Source organism: Homo sapiens, chromosome 20 (genome assembly GCF_000001405.40).
Source record: "Homo sapiens chromosome 20, GRCh38.p14 Primary Assembly".
Classification (NCBI taxonomy): domain Eukaryota; kingdom Metazoa; phylum Chordata; class Mammalia; order Primates; family Hominidae; genus Homo; species Homo sapiens.
The window spans coordinates 1914869-1942460 of NC_000020.11; the positions used below are offsets into that span (position 1 = coordinate 1914869).

Sequence of the window (27592 nt, forward strand, 5' to 3'; positions counted from 1 at the left end):
CCACTCTCTGCCATGTCATTTAGCTTTCTGTGCCTCAGTGTCCCCACTTAGAATACAGGCTCATGTTGCAGGTTTGTTGTGAGGGTCAAATGAGATGATACATGCACTATACTGATCTCACAGCCTGCTTCTGGTGTGCATCCAGTCAATGAACGTCATTGATAAACACTTGAGGAAACACAGAGGATCACGTAAGGATGAAAAAATGACTGCTTTGTGCTCCTTTCCAGGAGTGGCGGGTGAGGAGGAGCTGCAGGTGATTCAGCCTGACAAGTCCGTGTTGGTTGCAGCTGGAGAGACAGCCACTCTGCGCTGCACTGCGACCTCTCTGATCCCTGTGGGGCCCATCCAGTGGTTCAGAGGAGCTGGACCAGGCCGGGAATTAATCTACAATCAAAAAGAAGGCCACTTCCCCCGGGTAACAACTGTTTCAGACCTCACAAAGAGAAACAACATGGACTTTTCCATCCGCATCGGTAACATCACCCCAGCAGATGCCGGCACCTACTACTGTGTGAAGTTCCGGAAAGGGAGCCCCGATGACGTGGAGTTTAAGTCTGGAGCAGGCACTGAGCTGTCTGTGCGCGGTGAGTACAGCGTGGGCCTCCTTTGCCTCTGGTTTGTGACAGTAACTCAATAATAACACCCTCCATTCTTTGAGCAATGATCAGGTGTGGTGGTAGGTGCTCCTTTCCATGAATTGATGTCTCCCCCTTTTACAAATAAGGGAAGTTGAGGCCTGAAGACGTCATGCTATTTGCTGAAGGCTCCACAGCTGGTAAAGGGTGGGAACATCTGCATCCTTCATCTGCCTGGCTGTGTAGCCCTGGCCTCTTCAAAGCTGACCCAGCCCTTTCATTCCACAGATGAGGAAACTGACAGATAGTGTGACTTGCCCAGGCACAGGACCAGACCTCACCTGCTGCCTCCAGAGAGCACTTCCCTCTCAGGGCAGCCGAGTCTCCTCTATGTGACAGGCACTCACTGAGAACCTACTGTGTGCCAGGCTCCGCCAAGCTTGTGTTCTCATCCCTTCCAATAAGAGATCCACCCAGGGCAGGGAGCAGAGAGGGTGTGTTTCCTTTATTTCATCACCAAACACCAACTGAGAAGATTCCTAAAAGGCACAGATTTACTGTTTAATCTGATGGCCCTGGTGAGAGGAGAAGCCAGAGGGTTGGGCATTTTCTGTGGGTCTTTTAGAAAAACACTTGTGTGATTTAGGGACTGATTCATGCGTCACTAAAGGCTCTGAACAAAGCTGGGTCATCATAGAATGTCTCTCACCCCAGGGAGGAGGTCTCCCTTCTAGGTGACTTTGGGTTCCTCCGTTAAGGCAGCAAAGATGCTCATTTTGTATTTACTGCCAGAGCCCCAGGATCCTTGTTCTAACTCCGAATCCTGGGACATTAGTACAGGAAGGACCCTCAGACCATCCAGCCCAACCCCTAGTTACAGGTGGAAACTTGAAGTCAGGAGATGACAGGGGCCTTGTCCACAGTCATAGGCCCAGTTAGTGACAGGATCTGGACCAGAGCCCACATCTGATTCCAGGGAGGCTCCTTCATTAGCCATTGTTTACATAGAAGAGCCTGGTGCATCATAGGTGCCGACTGAAAGCTCCTTGAACAGAACTGCTAAGCAGGAAGCCAGCACTTCTCCTTTCCATCAGTTTCCTAAAGGTTCAGAATATTCACATTCAGACCGTTAGGCCCACTGGTGATTGGAAAACCGCTCCCAAATGTAAGCCATATCATTTGATACTGAGATTTCATATCAGGATAGAGACCTGCTCCATTGTGTAATAGCTACAGAATACTCCAGCTTATGGAAATACCAGATTTATTTTACCATCTTCCATTGATGGATACGTAACTTGTCCCCAAACTTGAACTATTAAAACAGTCCTGCAGTGGATGACCTTATACATGTGTGACCTTACTCAGGTGGGAGACGCCCACTGCAAGTGCCATTGCTAGATCAGAGGGGGTGTGTGTTTTAATGTGTGTGGATATGGCCTAATTTCCCTCCTAGACATTATAACAATCAAGTCTCCCCACAACCGCTGGACATAGGCAGGGAGGGTGGCTTTATCCTGATTGTGCAGATGTTACAGGAAAAGACGTTGAAGTTCCCAGATGATGCATCTCGTGCCTAGACAATCACAGCAAATACGTGGCTCAGGTGTGACCCAGATCTGCTGACTCCTAGCAGAGTGCTCACTCCTCTTTGCCATGCTGTCAGCCTAAATGATGCCCTGGATGAGAAAGGAGGGAGGTGGGAGGGGGCCAGGGAGCAGCAGCTGGATTGGATCCTCATCCTGGCACTTTCTCCTTTTATAACAAGTACTTATGAAGGAAGAGCCATTTCTTGCCCCCTTTACAGATAAGGACTCTGAGGCTCAGAGAGGAGACCTGTGTGGTGAGCCAGTGGGGGAGCCAAGGTTTGATCCCCACCAGCCTGACTCACAGCCCCTGTCTCTGTAACACTCAGCTATGCTTGTCAAAGTGTGGAGAAATGCTCCACCCTACTCATTCCAAACTCTTGCAGTTCTATAGCAATAAGCATAGGCTGAGGCAGGAGAATGCTTGAACCCAGGAGACGGAGATTACAGTGAGCCGAGATCGCACCACTGTACTCCAGCCTGGGTGATAGAGCAAGATTCTGTCTTGAAAGAAAAAACAAAACAAGTCCTATGGGAGTAGGAGGGACTGGCCCCCATCAGAAAGGTCCTGCAGATGTCTCATGATATGGGAACTTGTTCCTAAAGGACAGGTCTCAGCACATCACTGAGTAGCATCCATGGAGCAGAGTTGGGCCTCCTGCAGCCCAGCAGACCACGTGCCCACCTACTCACGGTGCTGAGGACTAAGGATGAGGAGATGAGGCATTTCCTGGTGGGTGCTTGGGGCTCATTGGAGCAAGAGTTTATATTATCCCCTCAGGCTGTCAGGAGCCCACTGACTTCAGTTTATGGCTATAGGGTAACCAGATCTGGGTACCCTGGAGGGAGGCTTCTCCCTAGAACTGCATGAAGTCAGGGATCTCAAAGGGAAAAAGGGAAGGTGGTGGTCAGTGTCAGGGTTCATGAAGTTCAGGCACTTGCTCAATTGATTGACATGAGAGCTTGGGGAACACTGGAAATGCCCATTGGGTACATGAGGGATGAGGAGACAGTGCCTTCGCTTTTCTCAGCCTCAGTTTCCTCATCTGTAGAATGGTGATAATCAGGGACTCCTTTGGCAGAGTGGAAAGGATTTGAGTTCCTGTGTATAAAACACCCAATGCAGAGTAGACACCCCCAAATCAAGGTTTTTTGTTTGTTTGTTTGTTTTTTCTTTTTTTTTGAGATGGAGTTTCACTCTTGTTGCCCAGGCTGGAGTGCAATGGCACCATCTCGGCTCACTGCAACCTCCACCTCCTGGGTTCAAGCGATTCTGCTTCAACCTCCCAAGTAGCTGGGATTACAGGGGCACCCACCACCACACCAGCTTTTTTTTTTTTTTTTTTTTTTTGTATTTTTAGTAGAGACATGGTTTCATCATGTTGGCCCGGCTGGTCCCAAACTCCTGACCTCAGGTGATCCCCCCACCTCGGCCTCCCAAAGTGCTGGGATTACAGGTGTGAGCCACTGCGCCCTGCCATCAAGGTGTTATTTTAAGATGTGTTACCTTGGGCAACCCAGTTCCCCTTGCTGAGCCTCAGTTTCCCCATGCGTAGAACGTCGATAATTGTACCAACCTTTCCAGGATGTTATGAGGATGCAATGAGCCTGGGGCGACGATAGACCTTAGTAAGCAATGGGGTTTTCCCAAGGTCATGTGATCTTGGGCAAATCCTGGCTTCCCTTGAGTCCTCAGCTTCCCTGTCTATGAAATGATGATGATGATTGCCAACCCTCACAGGTTCTGTGAGGATTGGAGAGGATGTACAGAGCCTCGGAATGGTGGCGGTGTTCGGGTTATCACTGAGCTCCTGCAGAAGTGTGGTTAGGAGAGTGTGGCCAGAGTCCAACTGCCTGGGCCACATCCCAGCTCTGCCACCTCCTGGCTCTGTGACCTGGGACAAGGCACTCCACCACCATGGGCCTCAGTGTCCTCACTTGTCAGTGATAACACCAACCTCACAGACCAGGAGTTGGGACCGAATGAGTTAAATCCTGTAGCGTGCTTAGGGCAGCAGGCGCCTGGCCTGCAGTCAATGTTCAACAGATGTGAGCTGTGTGATGCTGAAGCCATGCAACCTCAGATGGGTTAGTGCTCCTCCAGGCCTCAAGGATAAATGGTCCTTAGGATGTACTCAGGTAGTTTTCAATCTTGGCTGCTCTTTAGGATCATCTGGGAAACATTGAAATAAATCCCAGGCTCCACCACAGAAATGCCTCTTCAATTGGCCTGGCATGGGCCTAGGCATCTAAAGTTTTTAATTAATCCAGAAGATTCTAATACAGAGTCAGGACTGAAAACCCCTGGGATAGACACCCAGAGGTCACGGAGGACAAGTTGGAAAAGATGGTCCTCTTGGGGTGCCAGATGGGAGAACAGCTTTTCAGGGTGTGGATGCTTCTGAACAACGTGCACCCGGGACAGCTCTTTGGAGGCCCCAGTGGCCTGGCCAGACCCCCTCTTATGATACAGGCCTCGGGGGCCAAGGTAGGGGCCCCAGACAAAGCCCTGCTCAGATCCAGCCTCAGTGTGGGGAAACCTTCCATCCTGAAAATGTTTTTGTCTAAATGACCGCCGGAATCCCAGCAAATCCTTCCAATTCGGCCCCAGAACCCTCCCTGCCTCGACACACCAAGATGTCACGGAGGAGTCTGTTCCCTCCTCCTTTAAAATGCTTCCAGCTTCTGTAAATGGCTCTTCTGGAGGGAGGCGCCTGTGATCTTGTGTTTTGAAAGCCAATTCGCCAAACTTGTTTCCTGAGGGGATTGTTTAGAAAAGGGGAGAGAATCCTCACTTGGTGGTTTCTGCTCCTTGTATCATTTGGGTTTGTCATGAGCCACAGGGAGCAGGGTTTGAGCCTTTTCTTGGTGTTTCTGCTCTGCTTTGTTCTGCTGCCTGAAGGATAAATGTGTAGATTCGGAAGCAGTAATGACCAGACCTCCTGATAACAGTCACAGGGGTCATTTATTAAGCACCTGCTGCATACCAGGCTCTGTGCTTGCATTCATCCTCCCTCTTCTTAACAGGGTGGGGTTTGTATCCACTTTTGGCCCTGGGCCTCTCTGAGCTTTGTCCTAAAAGGGGCTCACACGAGGATCCCCTCACAGAGATGGAGTGAGGATTAAAGAGCTGACGGGCATGGAGGGAGCAGCCAGTGTCCAGCTCCAGAGAAGCCCTGGATAAATGGGAACTGATTGCAGCCCCTCAGCCCTGTGGGGACATCCAGGCCGCTGGCCTCAATGACTTGACTTCTTCAAGTGACACCCTCCTTACTGTGCCCTCAAAATGTTTGATGGGTGTGAGGGAGAAGTTAATATTTACAAATGCAAGTATGTGTGATATGTGCTTCCTGGTGACTGCGATAGGAGGTATGGGGTAATGATTAGCAATTTGGAGACACGTTTACGACCCATCTGCAGGGAGAAACAGCCCGCGTTCTGATTCAGCCATGTGTGTGCTTTCAGGACCCAGGAAGTGCTTCTGCCTGCTTGGGCGCCCTGTGTCTGTGTAATTAATTGATAATTAACCACTTTGGCTTTCTCCACACTTGGTGATCTTTAGTGTCTATCTAAAACTGACACCAAAGAAGACCGCAGATTCAGAAAAGTATCCCTTCCTTTCAAATTTAGCACTTGGCACAGATTAGACCCTGCTGGAATATTTGTGGAGAAAATGAAAAATATGAAGTAAATTCATAAATACCTGAAGAGAGAGCTTTGGATATGAATAAAGTCTGGGTTAAAGTTAGATCTGTTTTTGCTTATTTTTGTGAAGCATCTTCTGTGTTTATCCAAAGCAAAACTGCTTCTGTTGCCTCATTTAATCCTCGCTGCATCCCAGAAAGGAGAAATGCTGCTGTTCCATTTTACAGACAAGGAGCTGGGTGTGCCAGGCCGCCCCTCTCATGGGCTGAGCGGCCTGGTTCCAGCTCTCATGGTGATGCCACGTTGCTGCTTACTCCCTGCACTGACCTCTATAAACGCTCTCTCTGAGGTTGGCACTGTTGCCAGGGGAGGCAGGGTAGAAACAGTTAATACCAAGGATGAGATGGATCGTTAATTTTGATCCTGTGCCCAAATTGCTGGAAGTCACCCTGTGTGGAGTGGAGAAGTTTGAACTCAGGCCTGGACTTCCCTCTGGGCCCTGCCCCTACACTGTCTGACCTCACATGGGTCCTCACCTCTCCCAACCTTTGCATCCTGCTCTGTAAAATGACAATAAGGACACCGCCCTCATTAATCCTTCCACATTATTGGAAGGATAAAAAATAATGTCTCAGAAGGTTCTTAACGTGTCACACACTTATCGTTAGTGATTGTCATCTGAGTCATGTCTCCTGATTATCGATGGTCCTTTTGTAGCCAAACCCTCTGCCCCCGTGGTATCGGGCCCTGCGGCGAGGGCCACACCTCAGCACACAGTGAGCTTCACCTGCGAGTCCCACGGCTTCTCACCCAGAGACATCACCCTGAAATGGTTCAAAAATGGGAATGAGCTCTCAGACTTCCAGACCAACGTGGACCCCGTAGGAGAGAGCGTGTCCTACAGCATCCACAGCACAGCCAAGGTGGTGCTGACCCGCGAGGACGTTCACTCTCAAGTCATCTGCGAGGTGGCCCACGTCACCTTGCAGGGGGACCCTCTTCGTGGGACTGCCAACTTGTCTGAGACCATCCGAGGTAGAAGACCCTCACCCAGCCCAAGCCCACACCTGACCGCCAAGCCCACCCCCCACCACCCTCCACTCATCCAGCTCTACTCTTGCTCCAGGGCTTGAAATGCCTGGAACCTAAATTCCTAACTGCCCACCTCCCATGCCCCTAGATGTGCCAGCCACTTACTAACATTTTAATGGCAGTGGCTGGGTGACCACACCACCCACCAGGTGCCAAGGACTGTGCTAGCCGTTTCATTTATTTCACTGATAGCAAACACAGTTAATGAGTACCTACTATGAACTAAGCCTCTATGTGCTTGGTGATTTTCTTTATTTTGCTACAGTTACAACATTCCAACTGCATGCCAGGGGTGGTGCTTATAGATTTCCCTCATTCTTAGCCTAGTAGGAGCTACCAGTCCTTGAGCACCTACTGTGTGCTGGGCGTTGTGCTTAGTAATTTCATTCATATGCAAAGAGCACCCTCAATGTCTGAGCACCTGATGCCTGCCTAGCTCTGTCCTGGTGATGACCTCACCGTGGTGGGGGAGCTACGTTATGGAGCCCTCCCTGTGATCTGTCTGTGCCACAAGGTCAGAGCTTCTGCCCTGTGCTGTTTCAGTTCCACCCACCTTGGAGGTTACTCAACAGCCCGTGAGGGCAGAGAACCAGGTGAATGTCACCTGCCAGGTGAGGAAGTTCTACCCCCAGAGACTACAGCTGACCTGGTTGGAGAATGGAAACGTGTCCCGGACAGAAACGGCCTCAACCGTTACAGAGAACAAGGATGGTACCTACAACTGGATGAGCTGGCTCCTGGTGAATGTATCTGCCCACAGGGATGATGTGAAGCTCACCTGCCAGGTGGAGCATGACGGGCAGCCAGCGGTCAGCAAAAGCCATGACCTGAAGGTCTCAGCCCACCCGAAGGAGCAGGGCTCAAATACCGCCGCTGGTGAGGCCTCTATTTCAGCTGACCCAGCTTTTTTAAACTTTTAGTTTTGTGGGTTTTTTAAATGTTAAAAGTAGTAATTCATGCTTATTATAGAACAATCTAGAAGTCTATAAATATAAAGTAGAATTTTAATGTCAGCTCCATTTCCCCAAATCCCACACTCCAAGAGTCACCACTGGTAAGAGTTTGATGCACATCTTGATAGATCTTTTGACATAGATTTATATCACAGGAGGAAAGAGGGAGAGAGGGGGCCCATCTGTTCATGGTGTCCTGCCTCTTGCCTTCTTCACCTGACAGTTGTCATGCTCCCCATTCCTCACTGGCCCAGCCCCTCTTCCCTACTCTTTCTAGCCCCTGCCTCATCTCCCTGGCTGCCATTGGGAGCCTGCCCCACTGGAAGCCAGGGTGGAGTCATTCAGGGTGTTTGCAGCTTGTCTCACATACAGTCAGTGCTTCAGTGAACATCCTTGTGCATGTTCCATCCCACATGTGACTATTTCTGTGTGATTGCCCAAGGAACACTTTAGGCCAAAATGCATACTCATGTAAGGAGGAGATAATGCTGTCGCTCCCCTGAGAGAGTGTGAGGGTGTCAAGGTATCATTTTCTCAGCCCTTGCAACGTGGTGTTGGTGTACATCTCTTTTGTTTTCAAATGGTGGCACCTGATTGGCATTTCAGTGCAGCCATGGAATATTTCATCACCTGTTATCAATGTGGCTGATGCCCTGTACATAGTAGAACCCTTGAATGGATTAGAATGGAAGCCATTTCTGTCCTTCATGCACCCTTCAGGGAAGCTCTCAAAGACAGCCTTGGGGCTGTGTCAAAGTGGCCCTTTGGTTTCACCAATGCCAGGTTTTCTTAGGATGTGTAGGGCATCGGCCAATGCTGGGTTTTCATAGTACGTGTGGAGCATTGGCCAATGCCGGGTTTTCCTAGGACGTGTAGGGCATCGGCCAATGCCAGGTTTTCATGGGATGTGTAGGGCATTGGGCAATGCTAGGTTTTCATGGGATGTGTAGGGCATTGGGCAATGCCAGGTTTTCATGGGATGTGTAGGGCATTGGGAGACAGGATGTGTGGCTTTCCACGCCAGCTATGTTGCATACTTGGCTGTGTGACCTTGGACAAGTCAGTGCCTCTCTCTGGGCCTCCACTTGCTTCTGGCTGTGTTGAAGGGGATGAGCTTCATGACCCCTCAGCTCTGAGTCTCAGCTGGTAGGGGCCATGATTATCTTGCTCAGCATTGTAGCTTCAGGGCCTGACCACAGTAAGCACTCAGTAAATGCTTTTTGAGTGAAAGAGGATAAAAGAGTCAGTTGGTTGGCTGGTTGGTTGGTTGGTTGGTTGGTTGGTTGGTTGGTTGGTTGGTTACATAATCCTTAGTTAGCCAATGAGGTAGAGATGACTGTTGGCCCCAGTAACAGAAGAAGCAGCCAGGGTTTGGAGGGAGGCTTAACTGACTTGTCCAGGGTCACACAGCTACTTAGTAGCATAGATTTGAAAGCACTTTTCTGTGGCTTAGAGCCCTGCTTCTGATGAACCACTGTGTTCTAGTCTATGACCCCCTTACCTGTGCTGTGGGCAGTCAAGCCTCCATTGTATTTTCAAGAGTCCTGGTTCAGAGCCCCTATGCTAACTCCTGAGCCCAGTGTGCATGGCCCAGGTGCTGGGCACAGACCGGTCGTCAGCCCCTGAGCTGTGCAGAGCCTGCTGGCCGCACTGCCCTTCTTCCAGCTGCTGATTCAGTTTCCAGTGGATCTGGGGTGCCCTCATGACCGCTCTGTGGTTCACTCCAGATGAGAAGGAACGTTTCTGTTCCTCAGGAGTGAGATTTCTGCCTGTATCCTGCAGCAGGGGTTCCTCCGTAGCTGTCAGCTACAAATATATTCCCCCCTGGCACCTCAGCATGGTTTTTGTGCTGTTCATGGATGAGTCTCGTGGGCAAGTGTGTACAGACCCATGAGTGTGCCCATGTGGCTCGAGACATCTAAGAAGGTCCAGCCAGATGTTCTCAGTTAATGATGCCTGCTTAGTGGTGAAAAGCAGTGGTGGGTTTGGTTTTCTGTTTTTAATCTGCATACGTGAAGCCTCTATTCCATGTGGTCCCTAGAGAACACTGGATCTAATGAACGGAACATCTATATTGTGGTGGGTGTGGTGTGCACCTTGCTGGTGGCCCTACTGATGGCGGCCCTCTACCTCGTCCGAATCAGACAGAAGAAAGGTGGGTGCATTCCCCTCTTCCTCCCTAAGGGTTTGTCCCTGGACTGTCCTCGGAGGGAGACGCCATTAGGTGCTTTGGGTTAAGGACATCAGCTTCTGCCAGTAGCAAGAAGTCCAGAGGTAGTGGTGCTAGGGCTGGGGCAGTGGCCTCACCATGTTAGAGTCTGGGTGGGTCACTCTGTGGCTTCCCCCTCATGGTTACAAGATGTTCATCACTGCCCCAGGCCCCGTGTCCTCAAGGGGCCACTACTGAGCAAGGGAGCTGCCAGCCTGGGAAGAGAGGAGGCAGGGACTCTTCTTACCTGTCTCAGGGAGGACATCGTCTTTCCCAGGAGCCTCCCGGCAGACTTCTGCTTTCCTGGTACAAGTCTAGGTTACATGACCAGTCCCTGGACAGGAGGCCAGAGGGAATGGAGATAATAGCGCCACCATTTGATTGGGAGGACTTAACAAGTGATTGCATGGGAAATGTTAGGGAAGTAACCTGGCACACAAGTGCTCAATGTATGTCAGCCCTGATTATTACCCGTATTGTATGTGAGCCCAGAAATATGAGCCACCTCCCTAGAAAGCCCCCTCACAGGGCAAGGTGCATAGCCTTTGACTGCACAGCAGGAGGGCACAGGGTCAAACCCAGGACACCGCTTCCCCTTGTTTGTGTGCACGTGTTACGTGTGTGTCTGTGTGTGTGTGCTGGTTGTTGGGAGGGTTGGTTGTTGCTGTGGCAGGGCCTCTGACTTTGAAGTCAGACAAACCAGGGTTCCAGACCCTGGTTATATACTGTAAACAATCAATTTGGCCTCTACAAGCCTCAGTTTCCCCATCTGTAAAATGGGTTTAGCAACGCCTGTCTTGGAGAAGTTACAAGATCCAAATAAGCCCATGTGAAATAACGGGTCTGACACATTCTAGGATCGCCATAAATACATGTTCTCTTTCCCACTCTTGGAGAAGACAATTTTAAGCTGGTATTTCTGCAACCTTTTTTTATTACAAGAGATAGAAATACATTTCACATCTCAACCCAACACATACACACACCCTTTGTATATAAAATTAAAACTGATATTTTCTTTTTTGTCATATTCTTTTTTCTGTTTAAAATGCTGGTTGTGACCCACCGCCTCCAAAGGGACAAGTGCTGTCCCGAGCTGCCTTTCTGTGGCCTGGCACAGCTGAGCTTGGTTGGGCACATTGTACACTAATCACGCATCCCTTCAGTAGCTCCTTCACCTCTGCCTCCCAAGTTTCCCTCCCTCCTGGGCTGGCTCTGAGATACTGGCCAAGCCTGATGCTTCTGTCTGGGAGGGTTGGAGTCAGGCCCTGCTTCTCCAGAATCTGCAAGACGTCCCACCAAGACGTCTACCCAATGGGTTCCCTAAAGTTCCTGGAGAGCCCCACACAGGGAGGACTCCTCCTTGGATGGGGAAGCAGGTCCCTTCCCCACCAAGGGTGACAGCCCATCCCATGGGATGAAGCATTCATAGCAGCCGATAGTGAAATCCTGGCCATCCTTTCTGAGTCTCAGGCCCAGGCAGCACGCCAGCTCCTGGCACACGTGAGCTCATTACTGTGGGCTTAGGTGTTGCAGAGGAATGGAGTTTGCAGGGCTGCAGCTCTGGTAAAGGCCACCCAGCCCGAGTGGCAGGTCTGTGTGCAGAGCCTAGCTCTCAAACACAGGCTCCAGTGACAGGGACGGCTAGTATCCCCCAGCAGTTCCAATGTGCCAGGCACTGCTCACTGTGCTTTCCCTGTAGTAACAGTCAGTGCTCACCACAGACCTCATGGGTGACATTACTAACCCCACTTTACAGATGAGGAAACTGAGGCATGGGAAAGTTATAAAACTTGTTCAGGGCCTCACAGCCAGGAGGTGGTGGGGCCAGAATTTAAACCCAAGGACCATGTCTAGGACCACCTTGCACACTACCTCCCTCCGCCATAACTAGACCCCCCTTCTCCCTCATTAGGCCCTGGAGGGGTCTGCCCAGCCTCTCAATGCTCACAGTGAAATGTCCTGATTTCAACTCAACCACTACCCAGCTGTGTGACCCTGAGGAGTCACCTAGTCTCTCTGGTGTAAAAGGGGGTGACTGGTGTCCTATCACTGGATTCCCAGAGATGACTTGTGTCCAGCACTTTGCAACCTGTCAGCCTCCACTCAGACTTTCGGTGCTGAGCACAGCTTCCAACTGGTACACCTCATCTAAAGATCCAGGACCTGCCCAGGCAGCAAGCGTTAACCCAGCAGCAAGAATTCTTGCACTGTGGCAGCCTCCAGCCTATTAAAGTGCGGTGCAGAGTGCATTTGGGTGTGCATGTTGCTTTTTAATTACAATTTTACAGCAAAATGGGAGTCAAACGGCTGCTGAACCCTGGAGGCTTCTCTGTGGGTTACCCCATATCACAGGTTTAAAACCTCTGAACCAGATGGACACTTTCTTTCCTTCCAAGATCCTTTTTTTGGAAAGTGGTGGCATGTAAATAAATGGATGCTCAGCCCAACCCTGCAAGTTATAGAAGCTGAGAGAGAGGAAGTGACCCACCCGGGGTCACATGGTGAGTGAGTGGGTAGCAGACCCGGGGTTCACACATGATCCCCGATTTGCAGCCCTGCTAGAATCTGTTTTCAAGCCACGAAGGGCACTGATTGGGACCTAGGCTTGTTGGAGGGTCTCCGCTGAGGTTTGTGGTTGAATGGAGGTGAGACCCAGACAGAGGTAGGGCGGTTGTCGCCTCCCAGGCTGAAGGCTGCTTTTGGACCCCTGGCAACTTCCAGAAGTGGAAAAGCAGGACCATCTAGCTTACTCCTTCCCAGGCTTCCTTGGTGGAAGAGGATGCCCACTGGGTGGGCATGGGGGTCTCCTGTGGTTCCAAGGATGTGATTACAGCATTTCCTCTCCATGTCCCTGGAGGCAAACCTTTTGCCAAAAAATAGTTACATAAGAAAAGTGTGCTTCTAGTTAAACAACTGGCTTTTGTTTCTTTTGTCTTTCAGCCCAGGGCTCCACTTCTTCTACAAGGTAAGTGCATCATTGGTCCAGACCCTCTTGCAGTTATTATTTGGTTATTTGACAGCCCCCCAGACTACAAAGCATAATCCATGTCCACTGACCTCACCAATGTGTTGGTCAACATGTCTCTTTCTCTCCTTTGTAACCTCCTCACACTGGGTCACGCTGTTTTTAATTATTGTCCCAAATGAGGGGTTTTTTTGGTGCACAGAGGTGCTAATTTCTTGCCTGCTCTTCCCAGACAACGAGACCCTTGTCTAATCCCATGTGGACTGGGGCAGAGACCTCCCGGGCTTTCTGTCCTCACAGACATCCTGCACACGCCACCGGATGCATCCTCCCAGATCCAAGTTGTATACTTTACTCTTTCCTTTGTTTAGTAAATATTTATTGAGTACCTTGGCGTGCTGTGACCCTGGAATGCCGGGATGAGTAGGATAGAATCTGTGCCCTCTGCAAGCTCACAGCCTGGTCAGAGGCTCAGACGGTGACATTACATCACTGATGTACGTCACCGATGGCACTTTAGTTTGTTGATTCACATTTTTAGTGACTTGAGTCCCTACTATGTGCCAGCCCTGCTCAGGACCAGCTGGTGATATAGCAGTAAACAAGAATCAGCCCAGGCTTTCATGGGGCTCAGACGCCGGTGAGAGAAACAGGCATAAACGCAGAAATAAAGTGATTCATGGTGTCATATCAGGTGGTGACAACTCCTACCCTGCAAGGAGATGGAGGTGAATGGTGGGGGGCTGTCTTAGGCAGAGGAAGGGACTGCCTCTGAAAAGGGGATGCAAACGGGTGCCTGAAACTAGTGAGCTATGTTGGACAGGAGCATGCTGGGCCAGAGAGGAGGCCTGTGTGCTGGGCCAGAGGGAAGGAGAGGAAGAAGATAAGGTCAGGAAGACCCAGGTCCTCGGCATCCCGGTGTCCTTTGCAGATGCCCCTGCAGTCAGAGGTGTTACGAACTATTCTGTGAAAAGCCTTTATCGGCTTTTTGGAAGGCCTCTGATCTTCATCCCCAGCAGAGCAGAGGCAGCACACCATCATCTGCCATGTGAACCCATCTGCATAGAACCATGTGGACATCCGTGCTAAGAGTGATAAATAAAACTATAAATAGCTTCATGTTGGTTCACACCAGGTTTTGCCAGCAACTGCATAGTGCCAATCTTTTGATGGTTTAGAGCTTTCTGGGTTTCAGAATTACAGAATAGGACATGATGATCTGGAGTGGGGCCTGTGGGTGTTAGAAGGACTCGGGATTTTATCCGCAGTGGGATGAGGAACCAAAAGATGGACACGATCTGACTTTTGTTTTAAAAGTGTCGCCTGGCTACATGTGGAGCCCAGACTACAGGAGGTGAGGATGTGTAGGTGACCATAGCGGTACTGGTCCAAGCAGAAAAAGATGGTGACCTGGACCAAAGTGGTGGGATGGGCTGAGAAGTGCTCAGATTCTGGATATATTTTGAAGGTAGACACAAGAGGACTTGCTGATAGATTGGCTGTAGGGTTAAGGACCACCTCAAGGTTGGGGGCAGTGGAGTGCTGTATCCTGAGTTGGGGGGTGCAGGTGATGGGTGGAGTGATGGGGCAAATATCAGGCAAAGCAGTTGCATATAGCAGGAGCAGCTCTTCTGCCAGAGAAGGCTCTGGGAAGCATCAGGTGCCCCGCTCCTGCCCAGCAGTGTGAGTCCAAGGTACTCTTGGGATAAAGCCTTGCTTCTTGCTCTGATCTCCACAGGGGGCCTCCTGGTCTGAGCCCTGCCCAGCCTCCTGGCCTTTTCCTCCCCTGAACAAGCAGAGCCGCCTCTCCAGCAAAACTAGGCTCTTCACTGCCTTCTGGGCACATGTGTTTTCCTTTTGTCATGCTTGTGCCTGTCACACTCCCACACCTAGGTCACTCTTCCAAGGGCAAGACTCGTTTATATCCTTTGCCAAAAAACCTTCAGTGGCTCTACCTGTCCCTCCAGATAAAGTCCAGATGCCCCCCTGAGGCTCCTGGGCCCCTTGTGGTCCAGTTGCCTTGAACAGTTTCACTTCTAGCCACCCCCTGTCCTCACATTTCACGGCTCAACCACACTGTGCTCCCCCCTTCCCTCCTCCCACAGTCTGCCCTCCTCCCCCTTGCACACTGCCCTCACTGCTGGGGTGTGCTCCCTGCCCCTGCTCATGCACTACCCAGGGTCCCCCAGCTCCAGGGGTGGCAGGCACAGTGGGCTCTGTGAATGGCACCCCCTGGAGTTATGCAATGTGGTAGCTAGAGTGGGACCCCTCCTGTCACCTGCTCACCTCCTGCTTCTCCTGAGATCAGCAAGGGCACGACATCCTCCAGGGTCGGAGGGCTTCCTGTGAACCCTCCTGGTGCCGCAGCGTGGACACCCTGGTGTGTTCAAGGTGTCTCTGCACCTGTCCCATTTCATAACCCACCCCTCAAGGCCAGGGCCAATGTCCCTGAGGTTCACTGCAAATAGCTGCTAAACTTGGCACCATGCCTGGAATGGGATAGGTGCTTAGTAAAGGTTTACTGACTGAACAAGTGAACAAACGAATGAATGAATGGATCAGTGCATACCATCCTAAACCACTGTAGCACGTCCCACTCTGCCTTCTCTGAATCCCTAAAATGCTGCTTCCCAGTGGCTACACAGCCCCATCTAGGAGGATCTCTCTTTTTTGTTTTTTTTGTTGTTATTTTTTTATTTTTTATTTTTGAGACGGAGTTTTGCTCTTGTTGCCCATGCTGGAGTGCAGTGGTGCGATCTTGGCTCACCACAACCTCCGCTTCCTAGGTTCAGATGATTCTCCTGCCTCAGCCTCCTGAGTAGCTGGGATTACAGGCATGCGCCACCACCCCCGGCTAATTTTGTATTTTTAGTAGAGATGGGGTTTCTCCTTGTTGGTCAGGCTGGTCTTGAACTCCCGACCTCAGGTAATCCACCTGCCTCGGCCTCCCAAAGTGCTGGAATTACAGGCGTAAGCCACTGCGCCCGGCCCTGTTGTCATTATTTTTTACTTGTCTTACCTCCCCGATTAGACAATGAGTTTCTGGAAGAATAGGACATTGTCGATAATAGTAACAGCAATAGCAGCTACCATTTATTGAGCACTTACTGTGCTCCTGGCACTATCTATGCCTTTATGTGTATTAACCCACTTGTGATTTTAATTCTTGCAGGAACCCTATGATTTATCACTGTCCCAAGTTCATAGAACAGTGTTTTTCAAACTTGAGTGTGCTACAGAATCCCCAAAGGACTTGTTAAAACACAGATTACTGGGCCCCACCCCCAAAGTCCCTGATTGAGAATCTCTATTTCCACAAGTTCTCAGGTGGTGCTGATGCTGTTGTTCCCCAGCCACACTTTGGGAACCCCTGTTCTAGAAGGTTCTTATTCCCTATCCTATGGTTGAGGAAATTGAGGCTCAGAGAAGTCGTGACATTCCCGAGGTCCTGCGGCTAGGAAGCACCGGAATGATGACTTCAGCCTCGACATCTCTTGTACTAAAGCTAGTGCCTTCATCACTGTTCCCATGCTTCTTGCTGTCTATTTCTTCTTCCCCAGAGAAACCAACCGTTTTCTGCCTGTTTTTTATTTTTCCAGCGTGAGCCTACCAAGGGAGCCATGAGATCACTTGCTCCCTTTCATCTCTCTAAACCAAAGCAATAGCTAGTGAGTGCTAATGGTGGTTTCCCATGTAGCAGCCAGCTTCGGCTTTGGCTTGCTGGGATCAGACATTTTCCAGAGGACGTTGGTGTGAGTAACAGCTGAGCACCTCAGGGAGGCTGCAAGCGGGGAGGCTGCCACTTTGAGCTCAAGGGGTTCTTCAGGTTGCAGGGCTGGTGGAGGGATTGGCTCTCTCTAACTCCCTGGGTTAGGAATGTACAGACAGAATATTGTCTGTAATCTTCCCCAGCTCAGATGAGAGAAAAATGTGTCTCTGCTCCCTTAATGGGGCACTGATCATTCGATCAGCCATTTATTCACTTGTCAGACATTCACTGCATTTATTCTTGGAATATTTAGGGCTTCCCTGAGTCTTTCATTTATTCGTCGGGACTGAGCCTAACTCAGTGCCAAGCCTTGAGCAGAGGGTTGCAAAGGGGAGCAGAAAAGGCCCACCCCTGGTCTCATGGCACTTAAGAGCCAGTGAGAAAGATTCATTCATTCATTCATTCATTCATTCATTCAGCAAATACATATGGACTGCTGACGATGTGCCAGCCCAGTTCTTGGTGCTGGGGCTTCAGCAGTGAATGAGACTGGCCCAGTTCCTCCCTGTGTGAAGCTCAGTGTCCGCTGAGGAGACAGGTTACCAGACAAGCTGGAAAGTTAATAAGGGATGTGGTGCAGCTGCTGACTAGATAAAATGAAGCCAGGTATGGGATAGAGCAGATCAAGGAGGTGGGGTCTGGGGCGAGCAGGGAGGGCTTGTCTGCAAGGTGACATTTAGAAGATCACTGAAGGATGAGGAGGTTCCAGCCAAGGGAATATCTGGGACAAGACTGCACCAATCAAAGGGAACAGCCAGTGCCAAGACCCTGAGACGGGAGCAGTCAGATGCATGCACAGAACGCAGAGGAGGCCAGAGGAGCTGGAGCAGAGCAGAGGCAGGAGAGGGATGGAGCCTAGAGCAGTTGGCCGAGCTGAGCCTTGGAGCTGGTGTCACTTGACCACCTTGGAGTGGTTATAGAGGGGTTGAGCATTCTGAGCAGAAAAGTAACATGACATCACTTATGCATTTCAGATAGGGAGAATGGAGGGCAGGGAAGCAGGAATAGAGGTGGGGAGATCAAGGAGGAGGTTCTTCAGGAATCAGGGGAGTTCGGATGGTGGAGAGGATGGGGTGGCTGGCTTTGATGGATATTTTGGAGGTGGAGCCGACGAGCCCTAGGTTGGATTAGATGAGAGCTGTAAAGGAAGAGAGAGAAGAATCAGGACTGACTCCCACTTCTCCAGCCTGAGCACAGGATGACCGATGGTAGAGCTATTCACTGAAATAGGAAAATCCAGGGGAGACACAGATATGGGGAAAATGATAATTGGTTATTGTCTGAAATTGCTTTGAAAGAGAAGAACCCAATGTTTTGAGAATGGAGTTTGGGGGTTCAGTGAATATTTCCCCAAGAAAAGGCTGTTTAAAAATAGCATCTGAAGGAAGAAAAGGATTAAAGCAGATTAAGAGGCAGCAGCATGGAGCATGCAAAGGCCCTGGGGCAGCCTGACTGGCATTCATTCCAAGTCACTGTTTTTGAGCACATGTGGTGAGGAAGCATGGCAGGCAGGCAGGCAGACAGCAATAGAAACCAGATATGCAGATAGACAGGAGATCTGAGATTGTCATGGAGGGGCAGCCCAGCCAGCGCAGCACTGTCAGCAGAGCCATCACAAGGTGACACCATAGTTGAGTCTTGAAGGAAACAGGAAAGTTAGCCAAGAGGAAAAATGATCAAAGGGGTCCTTCGAGGCTGCTATTGAAGCATGAAGTACATAACATCAAATGCCACCCCCCCCCCGAAATATCTGGTGGGCAGATGAGTGGGTACATGAGGGCAGGGCAGTGAATTAGCCTGGAGGCAGCACGTCAGACCACGTGGGACTCTGAGCAGGGCGATGAGTTGGACTTGAACCAGCCAGCCAGTGGGAAGCTCCAGGAGGGCTGGAGGCCAGTAGTGTGGGGACAGATCTGCGTGATCTTCCCCAGCAGACGTGCCCCTGCTCCTGGAGGGTTCTTTCTGTGGCCACGTGGGGCTTGTCATGTCTCAGAACTGCTTTCAGAGCCAAGCACTCATGCCAAATCCATTAATAACCCTGCTGCCAAGCCCCACTGCTCATTTCTGACATTATCCATGCTAACATCCCCGGGGTTGCCGGCTTGAGAATTTACACAACTTCTGCCAAGCCAGTGGCTCTGGTTTGCTCATCACCTTGACCGTGACCCTCCAGTGAGTCAAGTCATGACCTCCAATTACAGAAGCAAGTGCACGAACAACTTCTTTGATTAACTTGGACATCTTGGTCTTTTTCTTTTCTTTCTTTAATGATGATACATAGATGTTTATAATACAGAACATTTGGAGAATATGGGAAACTAAAAAGGAGAAAAAAAATACCATGCAAAGACCACTGCAGTTTGCATTTTGCTATGTTTCCTTCCAGTGTTATCCACACATTTTTCATAATTGAGATAATCCTACAGAGAATTTTCCTTTTTCACTTATCATTTTAATGTAAGCAATTTTAACTTAAAAAAAAAACCTCCTCATAAACCTTTTAAATCTTTATCTGTGGATTTATCCTAATTTCCCTAACCAGTCCCAATTGGCAGAGCCCTAAGACATAAACCTCCTCCCCCATCCAGCCCTTGACAAATGCCTTTGTGTTGAAAGCTTTTTCTATATTTTGAATTCCCCCAAAAAAAAGTGCAATTATGAGTCAAAGGATGAGGACATCTTCCAAGCTCTTGATTTTGCCAGCTGCTTCCCAAAAGGATTGTACTGGTTTGCCTCTCCCACCAGTGACGTATGAAAGCTCCAGTTCATTTCACCATAGCTTCCCCAGCACCAAGTATTATAATTTTTAAAGATCCTTGCCAATAGAGTAGGTTAAAAAAATGATAGTGCATTGCTTAGAATTCCTTTTTAGTGAGATTGACCCCTTTGTCCAAACATTTGATATGCAGTTGTATTTCTGTTATGAGTCCTTCGTTCATGTCCTCAACCCATATAGAAAATGGAGCCTAAATGTTATTCTTATCAGTTTGCATGAGCACTTGAGATAGTGAGGGTATTTTTATCTGTGTGTCTCTTTCCTTTTTAGGTTGCATGAGCCCGAGAAGAATGCCAGAGAAATAACACAGGTACAGTCCTTGGTGAGATGCCCTTCCTGGGAAACTCCGTGGCGTGGTTGCTTCACATCAACCGGAATTGCAGATCTGGTTCTAAATTAAGACTCCTTGTGGGGTGGAGGGTGGAGGATCTTACACTCCTAGCTTTCCCCATGTCCTGTGCATATTCCTTCTCTCTACTGCAGCCAAGAGTGGCTGTTGCAGCCTCATGACTCAGTGCGACCCATTGCACAACTCCCCAGGGGCACCATTCACAATCCGTCCTATGAAAATGGTGCCCTGGAGTCAGGCTGCAGCTCCCTTAGTGTGGATCGTGCCTTCCCATCTCTCTACATTTGCCCAGGCCCATCCCTCTACCAGGAGCGCCACTCCCAGCTCACTGCCCGCTCCTCACAGCCAGGCTTTTCTATGCTGGAACTGCAAAGCCCAGCCTGCCAGGGCCTCTCCCACCTTTGCTGATGGAAAGACCCCATGTCATTAATTACCTCACACAAGGGCACACTCACTCAAGCTGGAGGTTTCTGGTCAGCATTGCTGAGATGATTTTGCAGCAACACGGTTTCTGAGAAACCTAGCCCTGCTTATCACCGGCTGATGCTGTCAGACCTTGAAGGCAGAGGGCTGCTCAGCATCTTGTAACAAGACAGGCCCTGCTCTGAACCCGGAACGAGAGCGCGCCAGCTGTCCTTGACATTTCCAAGGCAGTTGTCATCTTTTTAGATGTAATCTGTTGAAGGAGTCGGGCTGGTGAAAGGCGCAGCATTTGTAGACCAAAATGCCTTGGCCCTGCCCTTGTGACCCATGGGGTCCCCCCGCAGCCCCGGACATGAGCTCGAGTTGTAATTAAGAAAAAACAATTTCCAGTCATGAGCGAGGGAGATCTTCTCCCCCATCATTTTACTTCTGGACTTCCTCCTGGAATCTTCTGGGGGAAAAAAATGATGGTGAGAAGAATGGGTCATGGAAACCTCTACGAAATTCACAGCAGAGACTTACTGGGCACCCACTGTGTGCCACGCACTGGACAGTGAGCCAGACAGTCACAGCCCAGCTGGCAGAGTGCCTGCGATTCCAGTGCCAGGTGCCAGCCCTGGCCAGGGAGGGAGTTGCACGCTGTCAACACGGATTTCCCAGACAGAAGCAAATGAGAGCACGCAGGGCTCAGGACAGAGGAGCTGTGTGCTAAGAGCACAGTCGTAGAGTCCAACACACTTTGGTTCTTTGCCAGCCGGACAACTTTGTCCACTTTATTGAACCTCCCTTGGTCTCAGTGTCTTCAGCCGTAAAGTGGAATAGATAATCCTTCCCAAGCAGGGTTGTGGTAAGAGTGGATGGGGTGATCTATGTGATTGTGTGCTGCTTGTAAGCCCTGAGAACTGAAATCAGCCATTACCGTGCACCAACTAGGAGGTGTGCCGGTTGGTGGTAGCTTTATTCTGTTCTATCACGCAGGGGCCAGTCACAGAGGGAGCAAAGTTTATCATTCATGATGGGCGCTTTTGAGGCGGCAGTGGCAGGTTGATAGGATTAGCACATGGGAGGTATCCAAGTTTGCTAAGTGGTTAATGATTGCGAACATTTATTGAAGACAGATGCTCAATAGGTACCAGGCTCTGTTCTAAACGCTTTACCTGGATAATCTCATTCCATCCTCACAGCAACCCTGGCAGTAGACACTATTATCATCCCCTCTTTACAGATGGAGAAACTGAGGCCCAGAGAGGTTAAGTGAATTGCTCAAAATCCCTGAGCTAGAACCAGGATTCAAACCCAGGCTTTCTGACTCCAGAACGTTTCCCGCTTCACTAACTGGCGATCTCGTTCTTATACTGCCCCTGTTCTCTGTCTCCCTGTCCCCAGCTTTGCCCTGAGTGAAGGTGAAATTATTGCCATCCACTCATATATTCATTCAATATGGATCAGACTTCTTATGTGCCAGCCTTGGTTTCTGAATCATAACAAATGCCCAGTGAATATTTGTGGAATAAACGCATACATTAATGAATGTCCCCACACGTACCACCATCAGCAGCACCTCCTCAGGCCCCCAAACAGACATGGTCCTGGGTAGCGGGCCCTGTGATGGAAAACAAACATGGGCTGAGGAAGCACAAAGAAGGAACATGGACCCTGCCAGGAGAGGGGAGAGCCAGGGAGGGTCTTAGTATGAGCCATGCTTCATCTGAAATTTACATGGTGGATTGGGATTTGTTACAAGGAGAAGCAGGACAGACACCCTCGAGGGATGAACATGAGAAATGGGTGAAGACTGCAGGTGGTTCAGGCTAGGAGGAGGCAGGAACGGGAGGAGGTGACACTGAGGCGGGGCTGTGAGGAGACTGCACTGTGCGGGTCAGAAAGACCCTTCAGGCAGGGTGAGGAGGAGGGCAGATGGGAAGGGGCAAGGCTGGAGGCAAGTAACGTTGGCAAGAGATGAGGGGAACATGACTTATGGCTGAGCCAGTGTGGGCCGAGAGGACACAGAAGCATCCAGACTTGGTATTCAGTTTGAGTGAGTGGGCCAGGGGCTATAGAATGACCTTCTCATGACTTTCTCTTTGGGTATCTTAAATCCAGGACACAAATGATATCACATATGCAGACCTGAACCTGCCCAAGGGGAAGAAGCCTGCTCCCCAGGCTGCGGAGCCCAACAACCACACGGAGTATGCCAGCATTCAGACCAGCCCGCAGCCCGCGTCGGAGGACACCCTCACCTATGCTGACCTGGACATGGTCCACCTCAACCGGACCCCCAAGCAGCCGGCCCCCAAGCCTGAGCCGTCCTTCTCAGAGTACGCCAGCGTCCAGGTCCCGAGGAAGTGAATGGGACCGTGGTTTGCTCTAGCACCCATCTCTACGCGCTTTCTTGTCCCACAGGGAGCCGCCGTGATGAGCACAGCCAACCCAGTTCCCGGAGGGCTGGGGCGGTGCAGGCTCTGGGACCCAGGGGCCAGGGTGGCTCTTCTCTCCCCACCCCTCCTTGGCTCTCCAGCACTTCCTGGGCAGCCACGGCCCCCTCCCCCCACATTGCCACATACCTGGAGGCTGACGTTGCCAAACCAGCCAGGGAACCAACCTGGGAAGTGGCCAGAACTGCCTGGGGTCCAAGAACTCTTGTGCCTCCGTCCATCACCATGTGGGTTTTGAAGACCCTCGACTGCCTCCCCGATGCTCCGAAGCCTGATCTTCCAGGGTGGGGAGGAGAAAATCCCACCTCCCCTGACCTCCACCACCTCCACCACCACCACCACCACCACCACCACCACTACCACCACCACCCAACTGGGGCTAGAGTGGGGAAGATTTCCCCTTTAGATCAAACTGCCCCTTCCATGGAAAAGCTGGAAAAAAACTCTGGAACCCATATCCAGGCTTGGTGAGGTTGCTGCCAACAGTCCTGGCCTCCCCCATCCCTAGGCTAAAGAGCCATGAGTCCTGGAGGAGGAGAGGACCCCTCCCAAAGGACTGGAGACAAAACCCTCTGCTTCCTTGGGTCCCTCCAAGACTCCCTGGGGCCCAACTGTGTTGCTCCACCCGGACCCATCTCTCCCTTCTAGACCTGAGCTTGCCCCTCCAGCTAGCACTAAGCAACATCTCGCTGTGGACGCCTGTAAATTACTGAGAAATGTGAAACGTGCAATCTTGAAACTGAGGTGTTAGAAAACTTGATCTGTGGTGTTTTGTTTTGTTTTTTTTCTTAAAACAACAGCAACGTGATCTTGGCTGTCTGTCATGTGTTGAAGTCCATGGTTGGGTCTTGTGAAGTCTGAGGTTTAACAGTTTGTTGTCCTGGAGGGATTTTCTTACAGCGAAGACTTGAGTTCCTCCAAGTCCCAGAACCCCAAGAATGGGCAAGAAGGATCAGGTCAGCCACTCCCTGGAGACACAGCCTTCTGGCTGGGACTGACTTGGCCATGTTCTCAGCTGAGCCACGCGGCTGGTAGTGCAGCCTTCTGTGACCCCGCTGTGGTAAGTCCAGCCTGCCCAGGGCTGCTGAGGGCTGCCTCTTGACAGTGCAGTCTTATCGAGACCCAATGCCTCAGTCTGCTCATCCGTAAAGTGGGGATAGTGAAGATGACACCCCTCCCCACCACCTCTCATAAGCACTTTAGGAACACACAGAGGGTAGGGATAGTGGCCCTGGCCGTCTATCCTACCCCTTTAGTGACCGCCCCCATCCCGGCTTTCTGAGCTGATCCTTGAAGAAGAAATCTTCCATTTCTGCTCTCAAACCCTACTGGGATCAAACTGGAATAAATTGAAGACAGCCAGGGGGATGGTGCAGCTGTGAAGCTCGGGCTGATTCCCCCTCTGTCCCAGAAGGTTGGCCAGAGGGTGTGACCCAGTTACCCTTTAACCCCCACCCTTCCAGTCGGGTGTGAGGGCCTGACCGGGCCCAGGGCAAGCAGATGTCGCAAGCCCTATTTATTCAGTCTTCACTATAACTCTTAGAGTTGAGACGCTAATGTTCATGACTCCTGGCCTTGGGATGCCCAAGGGATTTCTGGCTCAGGCTGTAAAAGTAGCTGAGCCATCCTGCCCATTCCTGGAGGTCCTACAGGTGAAACTGCAGGAGCTCAGCATAGACCCAGCTCTCTGGGGGATGGTCACCTGGTGATTTCAATGATGGCATCCAGGAATTAGCTGAGCCAACAGACCATGTGGACAGCTTTGGCCAGAGCTCCCGTGTGGCATCTGGGAGCCACAGTGACCCAGCCACCTGGCTCAGGCTAGTTCCAAATTCCAAAAGATTGGCTTGTAAACCTTCGTCTCCCTCTCTTTTACCCAGAGACAGCACATACGTGTGCACACGCATGCACACACACATTCAGTATTTTAAAAGAATGTTTTCTTGGTGCCATTTTCATTTTATTTTATTTTTTAATTCTTGGAGGGGGAAATAAGGGAATAAGGCCAAGGAAGATGTATAGCTTTAGCTTTAGCCTGGCAACCTGGAGAATCCACATACCTTGTGTATTGAACCCCAGGAAAAGGAAGAGGTCGAACCAACCCTGCGGAAGGAGCATGGTTTCAGGAGTTTATTTTAAGACTGCTGGGAAGGAAACAGGCCCCATTTTGTATATAGTTGCAACTTAAACTTTTTGGCTTGCAAAATATTTTTGTAATAAAGATTTCTGGGTAATAATGAGTCCTTCCGGTGTTCAGTATTCTTGTCTTTGTGAGTGCGTCCCGGGGCCGCCTCGGGGCCTGCCTGCCCTCCTGCCAAAGCCTGGAAGAGGATTGAATGGACCCCAGGGTTTGGAAACAACCTACAGCATTTGAGCCCCTCACGTAGGTTTTAGAGACGTACAATTTTTGTTTGCCCTGGCTCAGAAGGAGCCGGTGTAAGGTTGAGATAAAATTCCATATAGACAACTGAGTTTGGATCTCGGCTCTGCTGCTTTGTAGCTGTGGGAGTTCAAACAGCACCTCTTTGAGACTTGGGCCCCGCGTCGGCACAATGGGGCAGGAATAGTCCCTGCCAGGGTGACTGTGTGGATTCAAGGAGGTTGGAAGCACTGAGCCCACGCTTGGCACTGGGTAGGCCATCACTGAGGCTTGTGTCTTTCCTTCCTGCCCTGACCCTGCATAGCTGAGTCTCGTGGCCTCTCACCACTGATGGGATCTCGGACACCCGGCTCACCCTCCTCCTGGGGCCTCACTTTCCTTCCCCACCAAATGCAGACATCTAATGCTTGTCCTGTAATATCCTTGCCAGATGACTGATGTCAAGTGCTGGTTTATAGTGGGTGCTCAATAAATGTTAGTTTCCTTTCTATCCCTCCATTAGATCATTAATGATATTAGTGCTAATTATGTAATAAAGTTAAGGCATAAATATGTTAATATTTAGTGGTTACTATGTGTCAACGCTTTACCTTGATGAATTCTTAAACCTTGTGACTCAAGGGCAATTATGTTACTGACTGTAGATGACACAGAGAGAGGGTGCAACTTACACAGGTTCACACAGCTAATGAGTGATGTTACTGAGCCTCCAGTTCCAACTGGATAACTGTAGTGCCTGATGCTTAGCCACTGGGTTAATAATCAATACGTCATGTATGGACCACTGACTGCAAAATTAACCACCATGATAGCTAATAACAGCTATGCCAAGTGTGCTGCCGCGTGCTTCACAGTTAGAACTCATTTCCTTCTCCCAGCTACATGAGGGAGGAACTCTTGTTCTCTGTGCTTTGCAGATAAGGAAACTGAGACACGGAGAAGTCATTTCTCCAATGTCCCATGGCAGAGCAGTTTGAAGCCAGGGAATCTGACTCTTCTCCCCCACACTGTACTTACTGCCTCATTTAATTCTCATGACTATCAGATCGCTGTGGTTGTGCCCATTTTGCAAAGAAGGAAAGATGAGGTTCTGGAAGTGCATGTGACATGACCAATCTCACGCAGAGTCTTTAGTCAAGTTGAGACTTGAACTCAGATCCACAAGCCCACTGGGGATCATCCCTACACCCTTGGCCTGGTCCATGTGATCAGAGACCACCTGAACCAAGGAGCCTTCTGCGGGGCTCAGAGAGGTCACCCTCCTCTCAGGCCAGGACCTTGGCTGTAACAGACAGCTCAGCAGTTTCCTGGCCCGTGGCCTGAGTTCAGCTCTCCGCCTCCCTCCGGGAGCAACCCATGAAATATGTGCACTGCTTGCAGGAATGGGGTGTTCAAGGCATGAATCCAGGCCGAGTGGGTGGGGAAATGCCTTCCATTCTCTGGGAAGGTGGGGGATGATGGACTGCGTGTCCAGACAAGGAGACTTGGTGGGTGTATTTCATGCAGCACCTGGGCCTTGCTTCTCCACGGCCAAATCTCCAGGGCTGGAGGCTGGCAGGCGAAATGAAAGTTGATGGGAGCTAAGTGGCCCTTTTCCAGCCCTCCAGGAAATCAGTCAAGCATTTGGCATTTATCGGACACCTCCTTGGGGTTCCTCCTGGTGCAAAGGAGAATGCTAAGACTCCCTTCCTCCATGAGGACCAGGCCAGAGTCCTCTGCCTTCCACCTGAAGCCCCTGCCCATTTTACGTGATAATCAGGAAAATCTCCACTGGCCCCCAACCCCAAGATTTGAATGCCCAACTGTAAAAGCCCATGTGTCTTCTAGCACATTTCCAACAGCCAAGTTTTGACGAAGGTTTATTTAATTTTGGCATAAACACATACTACATATTAGACACTCTCCTAAACTCTGGACAAGTATTTATTAAAATTAATTCACTTTATTCTCTTAACAAACCTATGAGTTAGGTACTATGATTATCCCCCACTTAATAAAGAAATGGAAACACAGAGAGATTAAGCATTTTGCTCCAAGGTCGCCATCCGGGAAGTGACGCCACTGTGGGTATGGTCTAGTCCAGCACTGAATGGGCATATGATGGGGGCTGGGGCTGATAGTGAGAAAGTGGGGGGCATAGATAATGTTCAGGATACACTGGACACTGTCAGTAGCCAGAAACACCACATCTCACCACCAAAGTGTCAGAACATCAGGGTGATATGGCTGCCTGGCTGCTCACCAGCCAGCCGAGGCACCCTTGAGCCTGCCACTGCTGGGATCCCCGACACCACCCCGCTTCACCACCCTCTTCACTGTGCCTGACCAGGCTCTTGGTTTCTTTTCTGAATACAAGATTATGACATTGAAGATGCTTTTTAAGAAGACGTGCTCCTGATGTTCAAAAACAGGCAAAACCTTGGCAA

General features: G+C 50.3%; 1 protein-coding gene across 13 annotated transcripts in view, besides 4 other annotated features; it reads left to right on the forward strand.

Annotated features, from left to right (window-relative positions):
• Positions 1–25724, forward strand: part of SIRPA (signal regulatory protein alpha) — a 46426-nt gene extending 20702 nt beyond the window's left edge. For 4 of the 13 annotated variants that reach the window (XM_005260670.4, XM_024451836.2, XM_047439915.1 and 1 more), the window contains 7 exons: positions 231–587; positions 6527–6844; positions 7445–7777; positions 9896–10009; positions 13007–13031; positions 19847–19898; positions 22452–25724. In XM_005260670.4, the coding sequence (XP_005260727.1) occupies positions 231–587; positions 6527–6844; positions 7445–7777; positions 9896–10009; positions 13007–13031; positions 19847–19898; positions 22452–22700 (1448 nt within the window). In that variant the 3' untranslated portion in view covers positions 22701–25724. The remainder of the gene's footprint in view (positions 1–230; positions 588–6526; positions 6845–7444; positions 7778–9895; positions 10010–13006; positions 13032–19846; positions 19899–22451) is intronic. The other 9 variants (NM_080792.3, XM_047439916.1, NM_001040023.2 and 6 more) reach the window with 5 other exon arrangements.
• Positions 22200–22754: an enhancer, noted in NCBI's record as "H3K4me1 hESC enhancer chr20:1917714-1918268 (GRCh37/hg19 assembly coordinates)". NCBI's record gives its function as "activates a minimal SCP1, AML or CMV promoter by ChIP-STARR-seq in naive H9 embryonic stem cells {active_cell/tissue: H9 hESC(naive)}" and the evidence as "EXISTENCE:reporter gene assay evidence [ECO:0000049][PMID:30033119]".
• Positions 22755–23307: an enhancer, noted in NCBI's record as "H3K4me1 hESC enhancer chr20:1918269-1918821 (GRCh37/hg19 assembly coordinates)". NCBI's record gives its function as "activates a minimal SCP1, AML or CMV promoter by ChIP-STARR-seq in primed H9 embryonic stem cells {active_cell/tissue: H9 hESC(primed)}" and the evidence as "EXISTENCE:reporter gene assay evidence [ECO:0000049][PMID:30033119]".
• Positions 24821–25322: an enhancer, noted in NCBI's record as "H3K4me1 hESC enhancer chr20:1920335-1920836 (GRCh37/hg19 assembly coordinates)". NCBI's record gives its function as "activates a minimal SCP1, AML or CMV promoter by ChIP-STARR-seq in naive H9 embryonic stem cells {active_cell/tissue: H9 hESC(naive)}" and the evidence as "EXISTENCE:reporter gene assay evidence [ECO:0000049][PMID:30033119]".
• Positions 25323–25822: an enhancer, noted in NCBI's record as "H3K4me1 hESC enhancer chr20:1920837-1921336 (GRCh37/hg19 assembly coordinates)". NCBI's record gives its function as "activates a minimal SCP1, AML or CMV promoter by ChIP-STARR-seq in naive H9 embryonic stem cells {active_cell/tissue: H9 hESC(naive)}" and the evidence as "EXISTENCE:reporter gene assay evidence [ECO:0000049][PMID:30033119]".